The 23808-nt window shown below is 42.7% G+C and overlaps 3 annotated features.

The window, feature by feature from the left end:
• Positions 1523-2722: an enhancer, noted in NCBI's record as "MED14-independent group 3 enhancer chr1:59049763-59050962 (GRCh37/hg19 assembly coordinates)". NCBI's record gives its function as "activates an origin of replication core promoter dependent on BRD2, BRD4, P300/CBP and CDK7 cofactors, and independent of MED14, by STARR-seq in HCT116 cells {active_cell/tissue: HCT116}" and the evidence as "EXISTENCE:reporter gene assay evidence [ECO:0000049][PMID:35650434]".
• Positions 3789-4083: a silencer, noted in NCBI's record as "tiled region #6655; K562 Repressive non-DNase unmatched - State 21:Repr". NCBI's record gives its function as "represses a minimal TATA promoter and a strong SV40 promoter by Sharpr-MPRA in K562 cells {active_cell/tissue: K562}" and the evidence as "EXISTENCE:reporter gene assay evidence [ECO:0000049][PMID:27701403]".
• Positions 10009-10303: an enhancer, noted in NCBI's record as "tiled region #14294; HepG2 Activating non-DNase unmatched - State 10:DNaseD". NCBI's record gives its function as "activates a minimal TATA promoter and a strong SV40 promoter by Sharpr-MPRA in HepG2 cells {active_cell/tissue: HepG2}" and the evidence as "EXISTENCE:reporter gene assay evidence [ECO:0000049][PMID:27701403]".

The following is a 23808-nucleotide window of genomic DNA, read 5'->3' on the forward strand; positions in this document are numbered from 1 at the left end:
TCCATGTGTTCTCATTGTTCAATTCCCACCTATGAGTGAGAATATGCGGTGTTTGGTTTTTTGTTCTTGCGATAGTTTACTGAGAATGATGGTTTCCAATTTCATCCATGTCCCTACAAAGGACATGAACTCATCATTTTTTATGGCTGCATAGTATTCCATGGTGTATATGTGCCACATTTTCTTAATCCAGTCTATCATTGTTGGACATTTGGGTTGGTTCAAAGTCTTTGCTATTGTGAATAATGCCGCAATAAACATACGTGTGCATGTGTCTTTATAGCAGCATGATTTATAGTCCTTTGGGTGTATACCCAGTAATGGGATGGCTGGGTCAAATGGTATTTCTAGTTCTAGATCCCTGAGGAATCGCCACACTGACTTCCACAATGGTTGAACTAGTTTACAGTCCCACCAACAGTGTAAAAGTGTTCCTATTTCTCCACATCCTCTCCAGCACCTGTTGTTTCCTGACTTTTTAATGATTGCCATTCTAACTGGTGTGAGATGGTGTCTCATTGTGGTTTTGATTTGCATTTCTCTGATGGCCAGTGATGGTGAGCATTTTTTCATGTGTTTTTTGGCTGCATAAATGTCTTCTTTTGAGAAGTGTCTGTTCATGTCCTTCGCCCACTTTTTGATGGGGTTGTTTGTTTTTTTCTTGTAAATTTGTTTGAGTTCATTGTAGATTCTGGATATTAGCCCTTTGTCAGATGAGTAGGTTGCAAAAATTTTCTCCCATTTTGTAGGTTGCCTGTTCACTCTGATGGTAGTTTCTTTTGCTGTGCAGAAGCTCTTTAGTTTAATTAGATCCCATTTGTCAAAATAATTTATTTTCTAGGACACAGCTGTGAGCCCACAGCTGAAGACCCTAATGCCCAGCACTATGCAGGGAGGGGTCCGCACTCTTCTTTCTAGCCTGACCACCATCAGCTTCAGCCTCTTTTAAGGAGCTCCTTTTGAGACAGTGGGCAGTGCTGGAGGGCCAGAGTTTCCTTTTCTCCTCAGCAGAAGCTTGCAGTCCTAGAAGAAGCAGGTAACTCTTCAGCCAGAATACAGATAATGCAGAGAGAGAAGTTGGTTGTGGTGATTGTTAGTTCAGGCTGGAGGAAGGAAGCCCCAAGAAACAGAACATAAAAAAGGAAGTTGGACAGTGTCCAGAGTGTAGAGGTGTGGAGAACAGAATAGACAAGGGCTACACAACTGTATCTTCGGTGTTTCATTTCTTTAAAAATGTGTTTTAAGTATTTCAAAATACTAGAAATCAAGAGCTAGGGAATGGGTACACTCTCCATATTTTGTTTGCTTAAAATGTTTGTAATAAAAAAATTCACATCAATTCCTCAAAGTAAGTTTTGGAGGAAGTATTTGGGAGTAATATTTTCTGTTTTTGCTTCCTCTTTTTCTCCATTTCTGTTATTTTTATTAATATAAGCTGTCATTTATTGATCATCATATTATAAATTCCTTGTAATTCCCCCAGCAAGCCTACAAAATAATTACTCTTGTCCCCATTCACCTGATCAGGAAGCTGAGGCTTAGGGTCACATAGTTAGAAATGAGTCCAGGAAGGATCTGAGCCAAGTCTCGTGACTGGGACATTTTTCCATTGCACAGTTTAGTCTCTCGCTGATGGGTCTTGAATAAACGAGAGAGGTCAAAGATGTTCTGCTGGTAAACTGGGTGTGGTCTGGGTCCTGGCTGCCCAGGGAATGTTTGATCTTTTCACTTTTCTGGGAAGACAACACGTTTCTGTTTGTGCTTGCTCATTTGGGTGGGCCCAACTCAGTTTCTTTCAGGAGAAGTTGCCTGTGATGTGTACAGTTCTGCTTGGTTTTTGTGGTTCATCTGGATTTGAAAAGTGACTGCAGTTTCACCTTACAAGTGTGTGTCATGGTTTCATTTCAGAATCCTGCCCATCATCTTCTTTTCATGGTGTCCTTGTTCTGAATTGCAAACCATAAATGGCCTCCTTCTCATTCTGGTCTCTTCATCTAGGGGCAGTCAGCTTCTCCTGTAAGGGCTTTACACTCTGGGGAAAGCCAGTAAAACACTCAGTGACTTTTAATTTCACTGGGCCCAACAGCTTCCAGACAGATTTGGCAACAAATAAAGAGAGATTGGGAAACCTTCTCCCTACATTCCTGAGGCAGCCACAATGCTCGAACCCCACACTGATGAGTCACGGTGCTTCCTTTCCCAGAGCTGGCCCGGCGATGTGTGATGCCCTGTTAAGGGGATGTGGAGGTGTTTGCTGTTTTTAACCACTTTCAGCTGTCCTTGAGATAAGGGCAGGTGGTGAGAGGTCTTAAGTGGGCTGCTGCTACTGACAAATTCGTCTGCCTTTCTGGACAGTCCTGATCCAAGTGAGGCTCCTTAGAGTTATCAAAAGGGGTCTTAGAGGACATGTATTCCAGTCTCCCACCCAAAGAGAGGTATCTCAGAATGCTAAACAGGTGCTTGTAGGCTACCTGTGATAATGCAACATCCTTACCTCCCCACAAGACAACCCATTCCAGTCCCAAGCAGCTTTACTAAGAAGTTCATCATAATTAAGGAAATTCAGTGCCTCTGTAATTTTCACAAACTGATCTAAATTTCTACTCTTGGAGCAAGAAAGAGTAAGTAATGTTCCCCTTTCACTCCTTGGTTCCTCAGGAATTTGAAGCCAGTTCTCCTGTCCCCAGACTTTCCCCTTTCCTGCTCTCTCCCTGCCTCTTCCATTGCCTTTCTCTAGTGGAACGTCCCTATCCCGTCATCCTTCCTCCTGTGCCAACCTCACACCCTAGGTGGTGGCAAGCACCATCTCCACCAGTGGCCCAGCCCAGCAAATGACATTATGAGAGATACCAGCAGAGGATTCTAGGGAAGCTTTGAGGAGGTTTTACTCCTGTTGTCTTGCCTTTCTACTCCCCTGTCTAGGAAGGCAGGAGTAACCCTAACAGCCCCTTACCTATCTATCAATTTCCTCTTTTCTAGGAACAGATGGTTTCTGGGCAATACTTACAATAAATATCTACACTGTATTGAGAGCCTATTACCAGCCAGCAACTCAACATGTGTTTCCTCTATCCCTATAACATCTGAAGGGAGTGGGTTTTGTTATTCTCACTTTACAAATAAGGAAACAGGCAGAAGGGCGCTTGTCTAAGAATACACAAATAGTAAATGGAACAGCTGTAATTCACATTCTTTTCTAAACATATTTTAGAGACAGGATCTCTCTCTGTTGCCCAGGCTAGAGTGCGGTGATGCAATCATAGCTCACTACAGCCTCAACTCCTGAGCTCAAGTAATCCTCCCACCTCAGCTTCAAGTAGCTAGGGCTTCAGGTACGTGCCACTGCACCCAGCTCACACCCCTTTTTGCCTGGTTCTGAGATTATGCTTTTTCTGTGACATCATGCTGCTACAGACCATATAAATTTCCTGAACCCAACATGTTTAAAACTCCAGCATGGTAGTATAGAAGTTCACTGGTATACAAGTTCAAGTTATACCCTAACCTCTCTTACTCATGCTGAATCAGAACATCAAAAATGGCCTCTCAAGAGAATCCAAGTAAGGATAAGGCTTTGATTTTATCCGACAACTTACTACCTTTAGATGGTATGGATAGTAAGTTTTGCTATCTTCTCCTTTTGGGAAGACAGACAAGTATTATGGACACTGCAGATGAATACAGTACAGCCTAGTGCAGGTGAATTTTGTTTTGTTTTGTTCAAAACAAGAAAGCAGAACAGAACCTTTCAGTCTCCCTGGTAGAAGATGCTCTCCTTAGCTCTTGTGCTGCCCCTCCCACAGACATTAATACCCAAGCTACATCCCTGGCATGGCTTACCCTCCTGCTCCTCCCTGCGCCTGTTCCTGTCCATCTCAAGACATCTCCAGTCACATCGGTCCAGGGCTGAGTGTGCTGAGGGGCTCAACTGCACTCCTACTCTCAGCCGTCATGAGTCACAAGACTCACACCAGGGATGGAAGTAGAGGCGAGGAGGAGTGGGAGAGAGGAAAAGTTCAGAAGTCTAGGAAGAATGAGGCAGGCAGGAAAGAGGAGACTTCATTGTTCTCTAATTCTGGGATGTGTGGGCCCAAGACAAAGGGCAAGAAAGTCCTTGTTGTTCCTCTGACCTTAGTGGGATGTAAGAAAATGGATTAATTTCTTTGGATTCATGTGAGAAGTCCTGGCTCTGTCAGCTGATCTTCAACTAGCATCTTTCAAAGCATGACTGATGGGAAAATGAGGACTGCCCTCAAAAGCTTCTCCAAGATCATGGGAGGCTGCCAATTGGAAGGTACCAGAAACCAACACAACTAAATTGCTCAGCACCCTGAACCTCTTTCCCCACCCACACTACTGATTTTTCATATACTTTCCAGCCTTCTATTCATCCGTCTCTTCAGCCAGGCAGGCAGGCAGGCAGGCATCCTCACTGAGTGCCTCCCAGGTGCCAGGTCTGTATTGGGCTGAGGAGGTACAATGGCAAGTTACACCTAACCCCTGGCTCCATGGAGGTTACAGTGCACACAGCAACTACCTCCTAGTGGGGGTTTAGTACATATTTGTTAAATAAATAACATGGAAACATATGAATAACTACAATATGGATTTATAAACCATATCTCCTGTCCTCTCCACTTATACAGATTATTTATATAGAGTTGCAGGATACATCAGTAGAAAAACCTCACTGGCTCTTAAGGTTGTCTGTTTTTCTCATTTTTTAAAGGTAATGAGTATGTAGCAATTTGGAGGTGGGAGCAAATACAATCCAATAGATAACATTTGCATTTTAAAAGGCATCTGAAATAAATAACATTTAGGCAGAAAAGACAACCTAAACAGATAGCACATGAGGAAAAAAATCCAAATAAATAACATTGAAGAATGTTAAGGCTGGAGATAGCCTTCCAAGAAAGCTAGTCCAGTAGTTCTGTTTTGAGTCACAGAATCCATTTCTGAAGACAGTGATGGATTCTCTCTTCAAATAATGCAACTGTGCACAAAGACAGTATATTTTGCACAGATTCCAGAGTCACAGACTCCCTGAAATTCATTTCAAGGACCTTCCTGACCTCAGTTTTAAATTTCTGGTGGGACTCATCACCTTCATCTCACTTAACAGGGACAGTGAAATGACTTGCTCAAGATCATCAGCCAGTTAGTGAAAACATTAGGCAGTTTGGTCTTAAGAAGGAACTCAGAAACCAGTTGCCTGAGTTCAAATTTTGCCTTTGCCATTTACTAGCGATTTGACCTCAATACATCATTTAACCTCCCCCTGCCTCTATTTGCTCATCTGTAAAATGGGGATAATAATAGTTAACCTACTTTGCAGGGTTATTGTGAGGATTAGGAATTAATCCATGTTAAAAAAAAAAAAAAGTTGGAGCAGGGGTTGGTTAGCAAACTAGTTAGTTAAAGGCTAGATAAACAATTTAGGCTTTGTGTGCTAAGGATCAAAATTAAAGATGAGACTGGGTGCGGTGGCTCATGCCTGTAATCCCAGCAGTTTGGGAAGCTGAGGCGGGCAGTGGCTTGAACCCAGGAGTTCGAGACCAGCCAGGCAACATGGCAAAACCCTATCTCTACAAAAACTTTAAAATTTAGTCAGGTGTGGTTGTGTGTGCCTGCGGTCCCAGCTACTTGGGAAGCTGAGGTGGGAGGATCACTTAGGCCTGAGAGGTCGAGGCTACAGTGAGCCTTGTTGGCGCCACTGTGCTCCAGCCTGGGTGACAGAGCAAGACCCTGTCAAAAAAAAAAAAAAACAAATCAAGATAATTATGAAGTACTTATATAATTATTTAACAATGTAAACAACATCTCGGCCAGGCTCGATGGCTCACACTTGTAATCCTAGCACTTTGGGAGGCCAAGGAGGGTGGATCACTTGAGCTCAGGAGTTTGAGACCAGTATGGACAACATGACAAAACCCCATCTTTAAAAAAATCCAAAAATTAGCCCAGCGTCGTGCCATGTGCCTGTAGTCACAGCTACTTGGGAGGTTGAGATGGGAGGTTGGCTTGAGCCCAAGAGGCGGAGGTTGCAGTGAAGTGAGTTGTGATTTTGTCCAGCCGGGTGACACAGCCAGACCCTGTCTCAAAATTTAAAAGTGTCTCAGCCCATGGACCACACAAAAACAGAATTTGGCCAGTGTAGTTTGCTGACCCTTAGCTTAAAGCAGCACCTGGCACACAATAAATGCTCAATAAATGGTAGTTTCTATTATCCAAATCAGGGCTCTTTCGATTGCTCTGAACTGCTTATGCTCCATGTAACATAAATAACAGGAAACAAGGTGCGGGCTGACCAACTTAGCCAACCTGTTTGTTTAGACACAAGCCAAAGTTACCAAGATGTAACGCGTCTCCGTGCTCCTCCCTGTATCAGAGCCTTCCTATTCGTGTCCTGCTCCAGTAGGTAAAGCAGCCAATGCTCTAACTGTTCTCAGGGAAGCCTCAAGTCAGGTGCCATATGAAGACAGGCGGGAGGAGCTGGAATGGTTTCTGGGCAGAGGTAGAGACCGGAGAAGAAGAGAGGGGCCCATCCCACAGCTCTGAGGTGTCCCAGACTCTGGAGCACTATGCTATCTTCCAGCTGTGGCATCCTGGCCACATCCTGCCTCTTGTACCTGTAGAAGGCCAGTTCTGTCCATCAGCCACCTCCTGCTACTTTAGAGCAGCCCTGCCTGGGGCAGATCCAGACATAAATTCAACCACAGCTCTGAGTTAGAAGGGACCCCATCATCTACTTCCAATCACCCCATTTTACCAATAGGAAAATTAAGGCCTGGGTTGGAGAAGTGACTTGCCTGAGGCCGCATAGCAGGCACAGTTATGCTGGGATTAAAAACCCAGGCTCCTGCCTCCCAGGCCAGTGCTTTTTTCTTGCCTGAGTTCCTGCAGGTTTCTCTTTGGCGCATAATGGAAATACCAGTGGAGTTGTCTGGTGCAGTTTTTTATGCTTATCAGAGAGCAGCTGGATTTGATGTAGATGCAGCCGTCTTCAGAGGGTATTCTCTTGTTTATCAACATTCCTTGAGCTCCTTCTATGTGCCAGGCTGTGTGCTGAGCACAAAAGATGAAAAGAGAGCCAATGTCTTCTTTCAAAGACTCAGTTTACAACTGGATGTGATTATTGTTTCTCATTGGTTGGTTTGCGTATTTGTTTGTTCATTCAACAAACATTATTGAGCACATACTTTGTGTCAGGCATGGCACTAGATGCTGGGACTAAGCATTAGTAAAGCCTCTGCCTTTGCAAAAATTATGATCTAGTGAGAGAGATACACAATAAATGAAATAAACACAGAATAGTATGCACATAGGTGTTTGAAAACAAGTTCTCCAGGAGAAAAAAGAAAGTACCCTAATTTGTAGCCTTTGGTGATTTTCAAGTAGCTAGTCAATGGTGAAGTCAGGATTTGAACTCAAGCAACTGGTTTCTGAGTTCCTTCTTAAAACCAAATTGCCTAATGTTTTCATTAACTGGCTGTGTGACCTTGAACCAGCCATTTCACTATCCCTGTTAAGTGAGATGAAGGTGATGAGTTCCATCAGAGATTCTAAATTGAGGGCAGGAGGGGCCTTAGTGTACTCTCCCTGTGACCAATTTCAAGCTATCAACATGGTGTCACTGAGTGCCAATTTGGGAGTGATTCACACAGCTGGCTCTTGCAGCCCCATATTGCATGGGCCCTAGACAGATGACAAGTGCTCTGAAGGAAAAGAAGCAGGTTACAGGGTGGGAGAGTGAGGGAGGCTGTGCTATCTTAGATTGGCTGGTCAGGCAGGTCTTTCTGAGAGGCAAGATTTGAACAGAGACCTGAATGAAGTAAGGAAGCCAGATATTTAGTGAATATTTAGGAAATGAGCATCCCAGGCAGAGGGAACAACACGTGCAAAGGCCCTGAGTCAGGACTGTGCTTGGCCCTTTGAGGAACGGCGAGACCAGTCTGCAGTGAACACAGGATTTAGGGGAGCACACAGAGGGGGAATTTGAATTCAACAGGTATGTGCAGCAGTAGTGAGGGCAAGAGTTGTTAGCTGGACAAAGGGATGATATTTGCAGGGTATCTTAAAACATGAGGACAGGTTTAACCAGAAGGGTTGGAGTGTGGGCAGAAATGGAAAGAGAAGAGAGCTCTGGAAAGAAAGAATGGTGTGAGCAAAGGTGCCAAAGGTTGGAACAGAGTAATATGGCGGGGGATTGGGAGCATATGGCCAGTCAAACCTGCACGGGTAAGTGAGAGCCACATCGTGAAGCTAGTGATAGTTTTTCACCTGGGATAGACATATAGGCAGGCATTTGTGGAGGATAAATTTGACAGGGAGACACAAAAGGCAAAGAGGCTACTCTGGAGGCTACTGGTACAGGATAGAAAGGATGGATGAGTGCTTGATTTAGGGAAGAGAGAAAAGGATGGACGTGGAACAATAACCTCATGTCTCTGTAATGATTTACACTAAGGGCTTTCATGCATGCCATTGCTACTCACCTTCACAACAGCCCTGCGAGGTACATGGGATATGTGGTGTGGTGGGTTCAAGATGGTGAAAAATCTTTGACACTCCTCCCTTCACTTCGCCTTGAATCTGGGCTGGGCCCATATCTCATTTATAGCTAATAGAATGTAGCAGAAGTGACACAAAGGGACTTCCAAGACTAGGTCACAGGTAACCATTTTGTTTCTGCCTTGGCGTCTTGGCATGCATGCTCTATGGGAAGCCAGCTGCCTTGTGAGAAGTCTGACTACTCTAAGAAGAAGTCCCAGCTAGAGATGACACATGGCAAGAGAGGTGTCCAACCAGCGTCCAGACTTGCAGCCTTCCCAGCCCAGGTAAGTAAAAAAGCCACCTTGGACATCAAGCCCAGTCAAGCCTTTGGATAAGTCCAGCCCCAGGGGCCTCTGACTGCAGCTGCGCTAGACCCCAAGCAAGAACCACCCAGCTGAGTCCAGTCAACACGAACCCTGAGAGGTAATAATTGTTGTAAGCCATTAAGGTTTAGGGTGGTTTGTGATGCCACAATAGATAATCAGAAGATACCTGATATTATCCCCATTTTAGATGGGGAACTGAGGCTCAGGGAGATCACGAGGGCTTGTCCAAAGTCATATGGCTAATAAATGCTAGAGCCAGAGCCAAAATCCAGATGTGCTGACATTTATAACTGTTGTTTGGACTCCTTTCTGCTCTGTCATTACCATCCTCTCCCATGCCCTGGGCCCAGAAAGGTTGGGGAGGGAGGGAGCCAGCCATCTGAGTCTTTTTGCCAGCCCAAAGGAGAGGTCTACTCATGCCATTTATAGCAGCCCAGTTCTCAGGGGGGTTAGAGAAGTGTGTCCCCTCCAGCATCCTGATGCCCAAAGGGTACTCCCTTCTGGCATGTCCTCATGTTCTTCCTCTCTCTATTCAAGTCCTTCTGTCAACCAGCTGTCCCCTTGGGAATGAAGAAACGCACATTTACTGAGCATCATCTGCCTAAGCATTTTTACATGATGTTAGCTCATATAATCCATATGGCATGAATACCAAGTAGATACTGCCACAATTGGTGGGAAACTGAGGCTCAGAGGGGAAGATCTTTGCCCAGACTCACACAGCAAGTGAGTTTCAGAGCCTGGATTCCAACCCAGATTTCTCTATTCTACCATCTGCATTCCTTCCACTGGAAGATGGGGCTAATGTTATGCAGACATGCCACCAGAGCATCTGATGTGACACAGGTTCTCAGTGTATGCCACATTCCCTTCCTTTTCCCTCCCTCTATTTCTGCTCCATCCCAGAGAAATTCAGAACCTGCCAAAAGGCAAGAGAAGTCCTTGAGTAGAAAAATAAGACTCAACAATTATTGAACTCTCTGTGATATAGGCTCAAGGATTATCTTATTCTCACAAATACACTGTGAATTTAGGTGCTGTTATTAGCTCCACTTTCCATCTGATGAAGTCAAGGCTTAGACAGATAAGAAACTTGCCCAAGATCCTACAGCTAGTAAGGGATGGATTCAAGATCGAAACCCTGGTGTTTTTGTCTCTGAAGTTCATGCTCTTAAACAGCAAAGCCTACCTCAGCCCCTGAACTGGGAGCTCCCATGCCAGCTGCATGCCTGGCAGCCTGCCTGATAGAGCAGGACTGGGCAGGCTGATTAATGAGGGGAACGACCTGGGGAAGGAATGAGGTCACATTCCAGGAGGCTGAGGCAAGGCTGTTCACGAATCACTTCAAAATACTCACTCTCTTGGAAAAATACTAGCAGGGTTGGATACTCATGCCAAATAAGAAAACTAGATATACAAAATGGATATTAGGACTGAGCATAGTATTCAACCTTCCAGGGCCATAGGCCTAAAGGGGACCAATTGCTCAGCCATGGGTCATAGCCTTCCAAGGACTCGTTCATGTCCTGCCCCCTTCCCATACCTATCCCTGGTCTCCAGAAGATCAGATGGCCTTCCCTCTGACTTCCACCCCTCTTTGTATGTGACTTAAGCACATAACATGTGCTTGAATTATTAATAAATTCATTGGCTTTAAAGATATTTTTTGGGCACCGACTTGATGTCAGGCACTGTGCTAGGAGTAGTGAATATGACATATTAGTTACCCCCTTGGCCCTTACAATCTAGTGAGGAAGGTAGACATTAAACTGGAGATGAACATTTTGATAGGATAGGGTGCTATAGGAACTAACATTCTTCCTTTCTTCTTTCCCTTCCCCATTCCTCCCTTCTTTCCCTTCCCCATTCCTCCCTTTTTCTATTATCTCCTTCCTTCCAGAAATACTTATTAAGAACCTACTATGTGCTAGTATCAGTCGAGGTGCTAGAGAAGAAAGCAGTGAACAACAGAGATGCTTGCCCCCTTGGAGCTTATATCCCAGTGATGACTGGGGAATTTGACTTGGGATAGGAACAACTTGTGAAGGAACTTGTGAGCCATGCCAGAGTTTGAACTTTATCTGGTTGGTAAAAGAGAACCTAAAATTGAATTTAGGCAAGGGAATAGTCTGAGCAGATTTGTGTTTCAGAAAAATCGCAGGAAAACTATATGGAGGATGAGTGGCAGGAGGTGAGACTGGAAGCAGCAAGATCAGATTGGAGGTTGCTGGGAGACCATGAGAGAGACAGGTTGGTGCTCTAGACCAAGTGGGCTATTGAGAAAGGAAGAGAGCCCCATAACTCACTCCCACAGGGTGAGTAGTGACAGTGGCACCTTGGACAGGATGGCAGAGTAGCACCTCTTCAAACTGATACTTAAAAAAATCATGGACACATCTATTTGGTGGGCATAGAGAGAAACAAATGACTTGTTATTAAAAATTGCATGCCCATTGCTTTACGTTAATTATGTGTACTGAAGATGACATTTCAAATCATTTGAATTATCTTTTTTTTTTTTTTTTTTTTTTTTTTTTTGAGACGGAGTCTCGCTCTGTCGCCCAGGCTGGAGTGCAGTGGCGGGATCTCGGCTCACTGCAAGCTCCGCCTCCCGGGTTCACGCCATTCTCCTGCCTCAGCCTCCCAAGTAGCTGGGACTACAGGCGCCCGCCACTACGCCCGGCTAATTTTTTGTATTTTTAGTAGAGACGGGGTTTCACCGTTTTAGCCGGGATGGTCTCGATCTCCTGACCTCGTGATCCGCCCGCCTCGGCCTCCCAAAGTGCTGGGATTACAGGCGTGAGCCACCGCGCCCGGCCATCATTTGAATTATCTTTCATTTCACAATTTCTCTGTCACTCATAGGAGGGTAGCAAACTGAGGCACCATGGGATGAGTCCATCTACCCCACTGGAGAGACCACATGGAGAGGGGGAGGGGTCCAGCTGAGCCCAGCCCAGTCTCCCGCTGTCCCCAGCGGGGTGCCAGGCATGTGAGTGATGACATCCAGGATCCTCAGACCAGACCAGATGCCACCTGAATACCACTGAGTAGCCCCAGTCAAAGCTCTATGAAGCCTAAGTGTCTCCAGGCTAAGCCCTGCCTGAATTTATGACCCATAAATGGTGAGATATAGTAAAATGTTAGTATGTTCAAGCCAGTTTTGTTGTTTGCTGCTCAGCAATTAATAAACAGAACAGCCCCATTTGTTGACAGTCAAGCAACATCGAAGTTGACAAGCCCCTGCACCACCTGGAAGCCTTGTCATGTGATCCCCACAGAGGCCACTGTGGCTGAGTCTCCAGTGTCCATTACATCCCAGCTGATTGCTCTAAGTAAACCTTGCTAACATCATTCTCCTTGACAGGTGGATATGGGGAGGCTTGAGACAATGTAAGCCCCTGTGTCATGAGGGGAGGCTCCTAAACACTCTAGTAAAAGATTTTTCATGGGTATCAGCTCTCTTTCTCTCCTTCACTGGATGTGAAAAAAGACATATATCCCAATTGCCATTAGCAGCCACCATCTTATTACAGGGGGAACTAGACTTGGGAAGAAGCCAGTGTTATTGAGGGCAGAGGGGAGAGATGGAAAGAACCTAAGACCACAATGGTATCAATGAATCACTGAATCAACCAACCCTGAAGCCCACCCTACAGTTGGACAGGTGCTATGTGAACCAATTCTTAAGTTTCCAGCTTAAGCTAATTTGTGCAGGATTTTTTGCTTGCTACTCAAGGCAACCTACTTAATTTAATGCTATGGTTCCTTTCTGTGGAATATGGATATTTAGTTGGTAAATTCAATTTCTTAATTTCTAGCTTATCCTGAACTCAACCTATTCTCACTTGCTGTAGTTAAAGCCCTAGAATGGAGAATGAGAGAGAAATATTCTTGAGCCAGCTATCATTTAAACCATAATTTTGACTTACTACACAAAATCCATGAAAGCAGTGCCTCTAAACAGTAAGAGTGCTACCAATGAATATTAATAGCAATAATTATAAGAAGGATAACAAATATCATGGAGGAGTCGCAATATGCCAAACATTGTTTTAAATACCATATGGATTACCTCATTTAATTCCCATAACACTTCCATGTGGTTAGAGATATTTTAATCTCCATTTTACAGAGCAGAATCTGAGACAGGAAAAAATTAAGTTAATTTTTTTCTAGGTCACACAGCAGCAAGTGGTGGAATTGGAATTTAAACTGAGAAAGTCTGACTCCCGAGCTCTGTCTCTTAACAACTATTATAAACCAAGGTAGTAGTAACAAGGAAAGTAGTAGCACCAATAAAATAAATAAGAAGTATTATAGATTTGTTAGTAAGAAAGGACGACTCGACCAGGCGCGGTGGCTTATGCCTGTAATCCTAGCACTTTGGGAGGCTCAGGTGGGTGGATCACAAGGTCAGGAGATCGAGACCATCCTGGCCAACATGGTAAAACCCCGTCTCTACTAAAAAAAAAATACAAAAATTAGCTGGATGTGGTGGTGCGTGCCTGTAATCCCAGCTACTCAGGAGGCTGAGGCAGGAGAATCTCTTGAACCAGGGAGTTGGAGGTTGCAGTGAGCTGAGATCGCGCCACAGCACTCCAGTCTGGTGACGGAGCAAGACGCCGTCTCAAAAAAAAAAAAAAAAAAGAAAAGAAAGGACGACTCATGGGCGATGTGGAGGATTTGGGAGTGAATGAATCAATTATGAGGTACAAGTGGACCCTCAATATTTTACACATGCCCATGAACACTACTTATTGATGTTTTATAAATAGCTACATTATTACATATTCATATACACATATATATACTATGGATTTATTGTGTGTGTGTGTGTTTTTTTAGACAGAGTCTTGCTCTATCACCCAGGCTGGAGTGAGTGTAGTGGTGCAATCTCAGCTCACTGCAACCTCTGCCTCCCAGCTTCAAGTGATTCTCGTGTTTCAGCCTCTGGAGTAGCGGGATTACAGGTGCACGCTACCATGCCCCGCTAATTTTTAGTAGAGACGGGGTTTCACCATGTTGGCCAGGCTGGTCTTGAACTCCCGACCTCAAGTGATCCAGCCACCTCAGCATCCCAAAGTACTGTGACTACAGGCATGAGCCACTGTGCTCAGATGATTTACTGTTAATGTTTCTTTTTTATGTGACCTTTCAAACTTTAGTTTTATTAATCATGGTAACGTATTTTGGGAGAAAGCTGTGACCCTAGACAACAGGTGTCAAAACCAAGCCCCATAGCAGTGGTTTTCCCTTGATCAGCCCCAGTTGCTCCCTCTGGCTTCACTTCCTCCTGGCTGCCTCTGAACTCACCGTGCTAACACTTCCAACTGTAGTCAGGTCACTGGGGCAAAATGCAGAGGAACTGGATATCGCAAAATGCAGAGGAGCTGGGTATCCCAAAATGAGTTCTGCATCTGTTTGAGATAAGACCTTCATTCCTCCAATGTCACTGGTATGTCTGCTTAGAGGAAAGGAGCTCCTGACTGGCTGATTTTACCACCAATTTTGCCAGAGCCTAGGCATTGCTGAGTCACACATGTACCTGCTCTTCAGGCTCTTTCTTCTGAAAAGTAAAACTCTTCAGTATCGTGGCTAGGCTTCCATACAGACCCAGCCTTCACAAACAAACAAGCTGTCAGGTCAAATCCTTGGAGAAGTGAGTCTGTATTCAAACCAGAGCCCTCCAAGGGCTGCATGGGAAATGTTCCCTCTCTGGGATTCAGTCTGTTCTGAGGACTGGGCAGCGGGCAACCTCTGAACAAAGACAATTCCTGTATTTTGAGGCTCTTGAGCATCGCGTTGATCTTACGAAGTGGCCAGGCACGCGCCAGCCTCCTCAGAGGCAAATACTCCAGGGAACAACGTTGCTTATTGACAACAGACGCCTGTGAGTGGGAAGCATCATTCCCTTCCGAGAATTTGATTCCATTCAAGGCTGCTGAAGAAAATTTGTTTTTTAAAACATGACAGATTTTTTCCAGATGATATCCAGGTTTGCTAGCAATTTAAGAGACCTGCTATATTTTATACTGAGTGTATCCACTCCCTGCAAAAAACAGATCACAGAGATTGCAACCCTCCCCATGTTGAAAGAACTTTTCTCCAACTGATGTCATTATCGCCTTATTTCAAGCTGTTCCCACAGAATTCACCCTGATCTTCTCCTTTGTGCCTTCATTTATTTATACATTCAACACATGCTTTCATTTCACATGAAGAGATTGTCACATTCCAGGCACTGGGCAAGCTATTGAGAATACTGGGGTGTACAAGATAGATACACTTCCTGCCATGATGGAGTTTAGCAGGGAGGGCTGACCAGTTCTTAGAGGGTGGTGAGTATAATCACAGGGCAATATGGTGGGTATTCTCAGCAGGTACTGGGGATGAGGTGGGGCATCTAGACAGGCTGTGAGGCAGGGAACATCTTCTTAAGCAAGTGGAGTGTAACCCAAGACCTAAGGATGAGTAGTACTGGGCCAGGGGAAGAGGTAGAACAGAGTGTTCCAGGCTATGCAGATGTCGTCCACTGGCACTCAATATCTACTCCAACCTTCTTCTACCGTGTTAGTCTGGAAAGCTAAAAGCCACATTTTCTGGGTTTCTTTGTAGTACGTGTTCTGAATGTGAATTAGCTCCATCAGTCAGTGCATTCCTGCGGGATTTGGAAGATGGGGGTGCTGCAGTGGCCTCACCTCCCTGCTTCTGTGGCTTCTGCTGGTTGGTAAGCTCCTCATGGACGGAAGTCTGGCCGCCACAAGGCACTTCTTGATTTTGGTGGCTTCCTGGGTATTTCAGTTTCTAGGTTGTGGCTGTTTGCTGGTTTTGGTGGGTTTTTGATCCTGGCAGAGAGCTGCTGCAGGGGCAGCTTCCCAATTTGGCTGCCAGCTCCCTGATGGCAGAAGAGACAAAAGCACCCGAGGTGGCCAGATCTGCCTGCAGCTCTTGGGGTTGTCTTAGAGTCTCATTTTCCCGGCTTGCCATTGCTTCTGGAACCATGTAATATCCTGCAATAAATAAATCCCTTACTACTTAATCTAACTAGAATCGCTTCTCATTCCTATAACTGATCCCTAAACAACTTACAGACCATAGGAACCACATATGTGAATGTCCACTAGGAAGAAAGCTGGTAGCATTCCAAGGATGCCCCCATGCGTCTGGGACAGAGCCATTTAAGGGAAGAAGGACTGGAGGGACAAGAAAGTGCTAAATCATGGAGTGTCTTATTAAGCAGGCTAAAAATCTCTATTGAAAGGGCAACTGAAGGTTTTCAAGCTGTTTGACCCCAGAACCAGATTTGTACTTTTCAAACACACTGCCCACTAAGTGGAGAAGAGATGGAAGGCAGAGACTGAACACAAGAACACCAGTTGGAATCTATTGTGTTAGTCCTGGATTCAGAATATGCCTCATGTATCAATACTCAATTCCATGTTGAAAACAGGTAGTTAAGAGATTCTCAAGTTTATTTGTGTAAAAAATTAGATCTTTCTTACTTCATCTTCTATCTTATTCCAAATAGAGTGTGACCACCATTCTTTTCTTTCTTTTTTTTAAGATGGAGTTTCGCTCTTGTTGCCCAGGCTGGAGTGCAATGGCGCAATCTTGGCTCACTGCAACCTCTGCCTCCTAGGTTTGAGTGATTCTCCTGCCTCAGCCTCCCAAGTAGCTGGGATTACAGGTGCCTGCCACCATACCTGGCTAATTCTTTTTTCTTTTTCTGTATTTTTAGGAGAGACAAGGTTTCGCCATGTTGGCCAGGCTGGTCTTGAACTCCTGACCTCAGATGATCTACCTGCCTTGGCCTCCCAAAGTGCTGGGATTACAGGCGTAGGCCACGTGCCCAGCCGAGAGTGACCACCATTCTAACCATCAGTGTGCAATATTTCTTGGCAACCTTGTTGTGTCCTTCAACCCAAGGTCACAGCCACCATAAGGAGGCCCTCTCCATGGCTTTTGTTCTCTCTTTTCCTTCCTTCCCTCTCTCTCTCACTATGTATCCTCTGTTACAGTAACTATTCCTCCCCTGTTCCTTTTTCCCTAAAATGGCAATGTCTCGTGAGTTGTAATTAGCTCTGGGATCCTGTGCTATCTCTTTTTGCCTTGTGGTTTCCCTATATCCCACCCAAATCTTTCTAAGTAGTCCTTTTACTAAGCCCTTCTCAAATTACCTAATTTGAATGTGCCATCTGTTTCTTGCTGGGACCTTGATGGATACACTGGGTCATTTGTCATGTAGAATTCTCCTACATTTTGGGTTTGGCTAATTGTCTCTTTGTCATATCATTCAATACATTTCTTTATCCTCTAGATTTCCTGTCAACTGGTAGGTAGACCTAGAGACTTGAAGAGATCCAGATTCAAGGTGTTTTTGGCAGGTGGGGTGGGAACAACAATATTTCATAGGCGGCTTCTTTATACCTCTATAGCATCTCATTAGAACCCACATAAAATCTGATTGTCTAATTTTTTTTTTTTTCTGGCAGAAAGCTTGTTGTCAGCTTTCTTTTTTAATTTTTTTTTTTTTATTTTATTTTTATTTCAATAGTTTTTGGGGAACAGGTGGTTTTTTGTTACATGGATAAGTGCTTTAGTGGTAATTTCTGAGATTTTGGTGCACCTATCATCCAAGCAGTGTACACTGTACCCAATGTGTAGTCTTATCCCTCATGCTCCTCCTCCCGAGTCCCCAAAGTCCCCATCATTCCTATGCCTTTGTGTCCTCATAGCTTAGCTCCCACTTATAAGTGAGAACATATGATATTTGGTTTTCCATTCCTGTTTTACTTCACTTAGAATAATGGTCTCCAATTCCATCCAGGTTGCTGCAAATGCCATTATTTCATTCCTTTTTATGGCTGCATAATATTCCACAGTGTATATATATACCACATTTTCTTTGTCCACCCATTGGTTGATGGGCATTTAGGCTGGTTCCATGTATTTACAATTGCAAATTGTGCTGCTACAAACGTGTGTGCAAGTGTCTTTTTCATATAATGACTTCTTTTCCTCTGAGTAGATACCCAGTAGTGAGATTACTGGATCCAATGGTAGTTCTACTTTTAGTTCTTTAAGGAATCTCCACACGGTTTTCCATAGCAGTAATACTAGTTTACATTCCCACCAGCATTGTAAAAGTGTTCCCTTTTCACCACATTCATGCCAACATCTATTATTTTTTGATTTTTTAATTATGGCCATTCTTGCAGGAGTAAGGTGATATCTCATTGTGGTTTTAATTTTCATTTCCCTGATAATTAAAGATGTTGATCATTTTTTCCTGTTTGTTGGCCATTTGTATATTTTCTTTTGAGAATTGTCTATTCATGTCATTTGTCCACTTTTTGATGGGGTTATTTGTTTTTGTTTTTCTTTCTTGCTGATTTGTTTGAGTTCCCTGTAGATTCTGGATATTAGTCCTTTGTTGGATGTATAGTTTGCAAATATTTTCCCCCATTCAGTGGGTTGTCTGTTTGCTGATTATTTCTTTTGCTGTGCAGAAGCTTTTTAGTTTAATTAGATCCTATCTATTTATTTTTGTTTTTGTTTCATTTGCTTTTGCATTCTTGGTCATGATCTCTTTGCCAAGCCAACATCCGGAAGAGTTTTACCAATGCCATCTTCATCATTTTTATGGTTTCAGGTCTTAGATTTAAGTCTTCAATCCATCTTGAGCTGATTTTTGTATAAGGTGAGAAATGAGGATCCAGTTTTATTATTCTGCATGTGGCTTGCCAATTATCCCAGCACCATTTGTTGAATAGGGTGCCCTTTCCCCATTTTATGTTTCTGTTTGCTTTGTCAAAGATCAGTTGGCTGTAAGCATTTGGCTTTATTTCTGCATTCTGTATTCTGTTCCAATGGTCTATGTACCTATTTTTATACCAGTACCATACTGTTTTGGTAACCACAGCCTTGTAGTATAGCTTGAAGTCCAGCAATGTGATGCCTCCAGATTTTTTCCTTTTGCTCAGTCTTGCTTTGGCTATGTCGGGTCTTTCTTTTGGTTCCATATGAAATTTCAGATTGTTTTTCCTGGCTCTGTGAAGAATGATGATGGTACTTTGATGGGAATTGTATTGAATCTGTAGATTGCTTTTGTCAGTATGGTCATTTTCACAATATTGATTCTTCCCATCCATGAGCATGGGACGTGTTTCCATTTACTTGTGTCATTGATGATTTCTTTCAGCAGCGTTTTGTAGATTTCCTTGTAGAGATCTTTCACCTACTTGGTTAGGTATATTCCTAAGTGTTTTATTTTATTTTTTGCAGCTGTTGTAAAAGGGAATTAGTTCTTTATTTGTTCCTGAGCTTGGTTGTTGTTGGTGTATAGCAGTGCTACTGATTTGTGTACATTGATTTTGTATCCTGAAACTTTACTAAATTCATATATCAGATCTAGGAGCATTTTGGACGAGTTTTTAGGGTTTTCCAGGTATACATCATATCATCGGTGAACAGCGACAGTTTGACTTCCTCTTTACCAATCTGGATGCCCTTTATTTCTTTCTCTTGTCTGATTGCTCTGGCTAGGACTTTCAGTACTATGCTGAATAGAAGTGGTAAAAGTGGGCAATCTTGTCTTGTTCCAGTTTTCAGTTTCAGTTTTCCATTTGTCCCCATTCAGTATAATGTTGGCTGTGGGTTTTTCACAGATGGCTTTTATTATTTTGAGATAAGTCCCTTCTATGCCAGTTTTGCTGAGGGCTTTAATCATAAAGGGATGCTAGCTTTTGTCAAATGCTTTTTCAGCATCTATTGAAATGATCATATGGTATTTGTTTTTAGTTCTGTTTATGTGATATATCACATTTATTGACTTGCATGTGTTAAACTATCCCTGCATCCCTGGTATGAAACCCACTTGATCATGGTGTATTTTTTTTTTTTTTTGACATGCTGCTAGATTCAGTTAGTTAGTACTTTGTTAAGGATTTTTGCATCTATGTTTATCAGGGATATTGGTCTGTAGTTTTCTTTTTTTGTTATGTCCTTTCCTGATTTTGGAATTATGGTGATACTGGCTTCATCAAATGATTTAGGGAGGATTTCCTCTTTATCTTTTGGAATAGTAAGATTGGTATCAATTCTTTGAATGTCTGATGGAATTCAGCTGTGAATCCATCTGATCCTAGACTTTTTTTGTTGGCAATTTTTAAATTACTGTTTCAACCTTGCTACTTGTTATTGGTCTGTTCAGAGTTTCTGTTTCTCCTGATTTAATCTGGGAGCATTGTATATTTCCAGGAATTTATCCATCTCCTCTACATTTTCTAGTTTGTGTATGTAAAGGTGTTCATAGTAGCCTGGAATGACCTAGTACTTCTGTGGTATTAGTTGTAATATCTCCTGTTTCCTTTCTAATTGAGCTTACTTGGATCTTCTCTCTTCTTTTCTTGGTTAATCTCACTAGGTCTATCAATTTTGTTTATTTTTTTAAAGAACCAGCTTTTTGTTTCATTTATCCTTTGTATTTCTGTTTGCTTGTTTGCTTCAATTTCATTTAGTTTTGCTCTGATCTTTATTTTTTTCTTCTGCTGGGCTTGGGTTTGGTTTGGTCTTGTTTCTCTAATTCCTTGAGGTATGACCTTAGATTGTCGATTTGTGCTCTTTCAGACTTTTTGATGTAGGCATTTAATGCTATGGACTTTCCTCTTAGCACTGCTTTTGCTATATCCCAGAGGTTTTGATAAGTTGTGTCACTATTATCGTTCAGCTTAAATAATGGTTATTTTTTATTTATTTTTATTTATTTATTTATTTTTTTGAGACAGTCTTGCTCTGTCGCCCAGGCTGGAGTGCAGTGGCACAATCTTAGCTCACTGCAAGCTCCGCTTCCCAGGTTCACGCCATTCTCCTGCCTCAGCCTCCAGAGTAGCTGGGACTACAGGCGCCCACCTCCACACCCGGCTAATTTTTTGTATTTTTTAGCAGAGACAGAGTTTCACTGTGTTAGCCAGGATGGTCTCGATCTCCTGACCTCATGATCTGCCCACCTCGGCCTCCATATTTGTTTAATTTTTATCTTGATTTTATTGTTTATCCAAAGATCATTCAAGAGCAGATTATTTAATTTCCATGTATTTGTATAGTTTTGAGGATTCCTTTTGGAGTTAATTTCTGGTTTTATTCCACTGTGGTCTGAGAGGATACTTGATATAATTTTGATTTTCTTAAATTTATTAAGACTTGTTTTGTGGCCTATCATATGGTCTATCTGTGAGAATGTTACAGTGCTGAAGAAAAGAATGTATATTCTGCAGTTGTTGGGTAGAATGTTCTATAAATATCTTTTAAGTCCATTTATTCTAGAGTACAGTTTAAACCCATTGTTTCTTTATTGACCTTCTGTCTTGATGACCTATCTAGTGCTGCCAGTGGAGTATTGAATTCCCCCACTATTACTGTGTTGCTGTCTATCTCATTTCTTAGGTCTAGCAGTAATTGTTTTATAAATTTGGGAGCTCCAGTATTAGGTGCATATATATTTATGATTGTGACATTTTCCTCTTGGACTAGTTCTTTTATCATTACATAATGTCACTCTTTATCTATTTTTACTGTTGTTGCTTTAAAGTCTGTTTTGTCTGATATAAGAATAGGTACTCCTGCCCACTTTTGGTTTCCATTTGTGTGGAATATCTTTTTCCAACCCTTTACCTTAAGTTTGAGTCCTTATGTGTTAGGTGAGTCTCTTGAAGACAGTGGATACTTGGTTGGTGGATTTTTACCAATTCTGCCATCCTCTCTCTCTTAAGTGGAGCATTTAGGTCATTTATATTCAACGTTAGTATTGAGATGTGAGGTACTTTTCTATTCATCATGTTCGTTGTTGCCTTGATACCTTGTTTTTTTCCCCTTTTTGTTATTGTTTTATAGGCCCTGTGAGACTTACACTTTAAGGGAGTTCTATTTTGGTGTATTTCAAGGTTTTGTTTCAAGATTTAGGACTCCTTTAAGCATTTCTTGTAGTGCTGGCTTAGTAATGGTGAATTCTCTCAGCATTTGTTTGTCTGAAAAAGACTATCTCTCCTTCATTTATGAAGCTTACTTTTGCTGAATACAAAAATCTTGGTTGACAATTATTTTGTTTCAGGAGGCTAAAGATGGGACCCCAGTTGCTTCTGACTTGTAAGGTTTCTGCTGAGAAGTCTGCTATTAATCTGATAGGTTTTCCTTTCTAGATTATCTGATGCTTTTGTCTCACAGCCCTTAAGATTCTTCCCTTCACCTTGACTTTAGATAACCTGATGATTATGTGCCTGGGTGATAATCTTTTTGTGATGAATTTCCCAGGTGTTCTTTGAGCTTCTTGTATTTGAATGTCTAGATCTCTAGCAAGGCCAGGAAAGTTTTCCTTAATTTTTCCTTCAAATAAGTTTTACAAACTTTTAGATTTCTCTTCTTCATCAGGAACAGCAATTATTCTTTGGTTTGGCTGCTTAACATAATCCCAAATTTCTTGAAGGCTTTGTTGATTTTTTTAATTCTTTTTTCTTTGTCTTTGTTTGATTGGGTTAATTTGAAAGCCTTGTCTTTGAACTCTGAAGTTCTTTTTTCTACTTGTTCTAGTCTATTGTTGAAACTTTCCAGTGCATTCTGTATTTCTCTAAGTGTGTCTTTCATTTCCAGAAGTTTGTAATTGTTTTTTTCTTTATGATATCTGTTTCTCTGGAGAATTTTTCATCCACATCCTGTATTTTTAAAAATTTCTTTAAGTTGGTTTTCACCTTTCTCTGGTATCTCCTTGAGTAGCTCAATAATCAATCTTCTGAATTCTGTATCTGGCAATTCAGAGATTTCTTCTTGGTTTGGATCCATTGCTAGGGAGCTGGTGTGACCTTTTGGGGGTGTTATAGAAACCTGTTTTGTCATATAATCAGAATTACTTTTCTGATTCCTTCTCATTTGGGGAGACTATTTCAGTGGAGAGGTCTGAAACTCAAGGTCTGCTGTTCAGATTCTCTTCTCCCATGGGATGATCCCTTGATATGGTGCTCTCTTCCTCCCCCAAGGGATGGAGCTTTCTGAGAGCTGGACTGCAGTGATTGTTATTGCTCTTCTGCGTCTGTTATTGCTCTTCTGGGTCTAGCCACCACATGGATCTAGGGATTGTTTTTGCTCTTCTGGGTCTGGCCACCATGTGGGGCTATGAGGCTCTGAGCTGGTGGTCTGAAAAAAGTCCTGTGATGTGATCTGACTTCAGGTCTACAGCCATGGATACCAGCACCTGTTCAGTGGAGGTGGCAGGGGAGTGAAATAAGACTCTGTGAGAATCCTTGGTTGTAGATATGTTTAGTGCACTTGCTGAAGTGGCATTGTTGTCTGGGGTAAATACACAAGGTTTGTTGCCTCATGCCAAGGAAATCAAGGACATGAACACATGTGGAGTGAGGTTAAGAGCATAGGTTTAATAGGCAAAAAAAAGCGAAAGGAAAACAGCTCTCTCTCCTATGAGACAGAGGGGTGCCTGAGTGGGACTTCAGGCCTGCATCAGTGCACCGGATTTTATAGACAGGCTTGAGGAGGCAGTGTCTGATTTACACAGGGGCCAAAGATTGGTTGGACCAGGTGCGCACATTTATTTACATAGCGCATGGGGAAGCTGGCCCCCACCCTAATCTTATTATGCTAATGGGGTCTTTACTTTATTATGCAAATGGCGCCACGTTGTCTGTTCCTTGCTGTAGACATGGTTGATAAGGAAAGGGGAAGATGGAGCCACCATGTTGGACATGCCTAGCCCTCAGGTAGCCTTTTCCTAATGGCACAGCTGCCAGCATTCACTCATGCAAGCTTCCAGCTTGCTTGTCTATGTCTGCAGCTCCATTTTACAGGCTGCTCTTTGTTAGAAAAGAAGATTATTTTGGATCTGCTTTTCATTAAAAGGAAAACCTTACCAAAGACTCTC

Source organism: Homo sapiens, chromosome 1, assembly GCF_000001405.40.
Source record: "Homo sapiens chromosome 1, GRCh38.p14 Primary Assembly".
NCBI classification, from domain to species: Eukaryota; Metazoa; Chordata; class Mammalia; order Primates; family Hominidae; genus Homo; species Homo sapiens.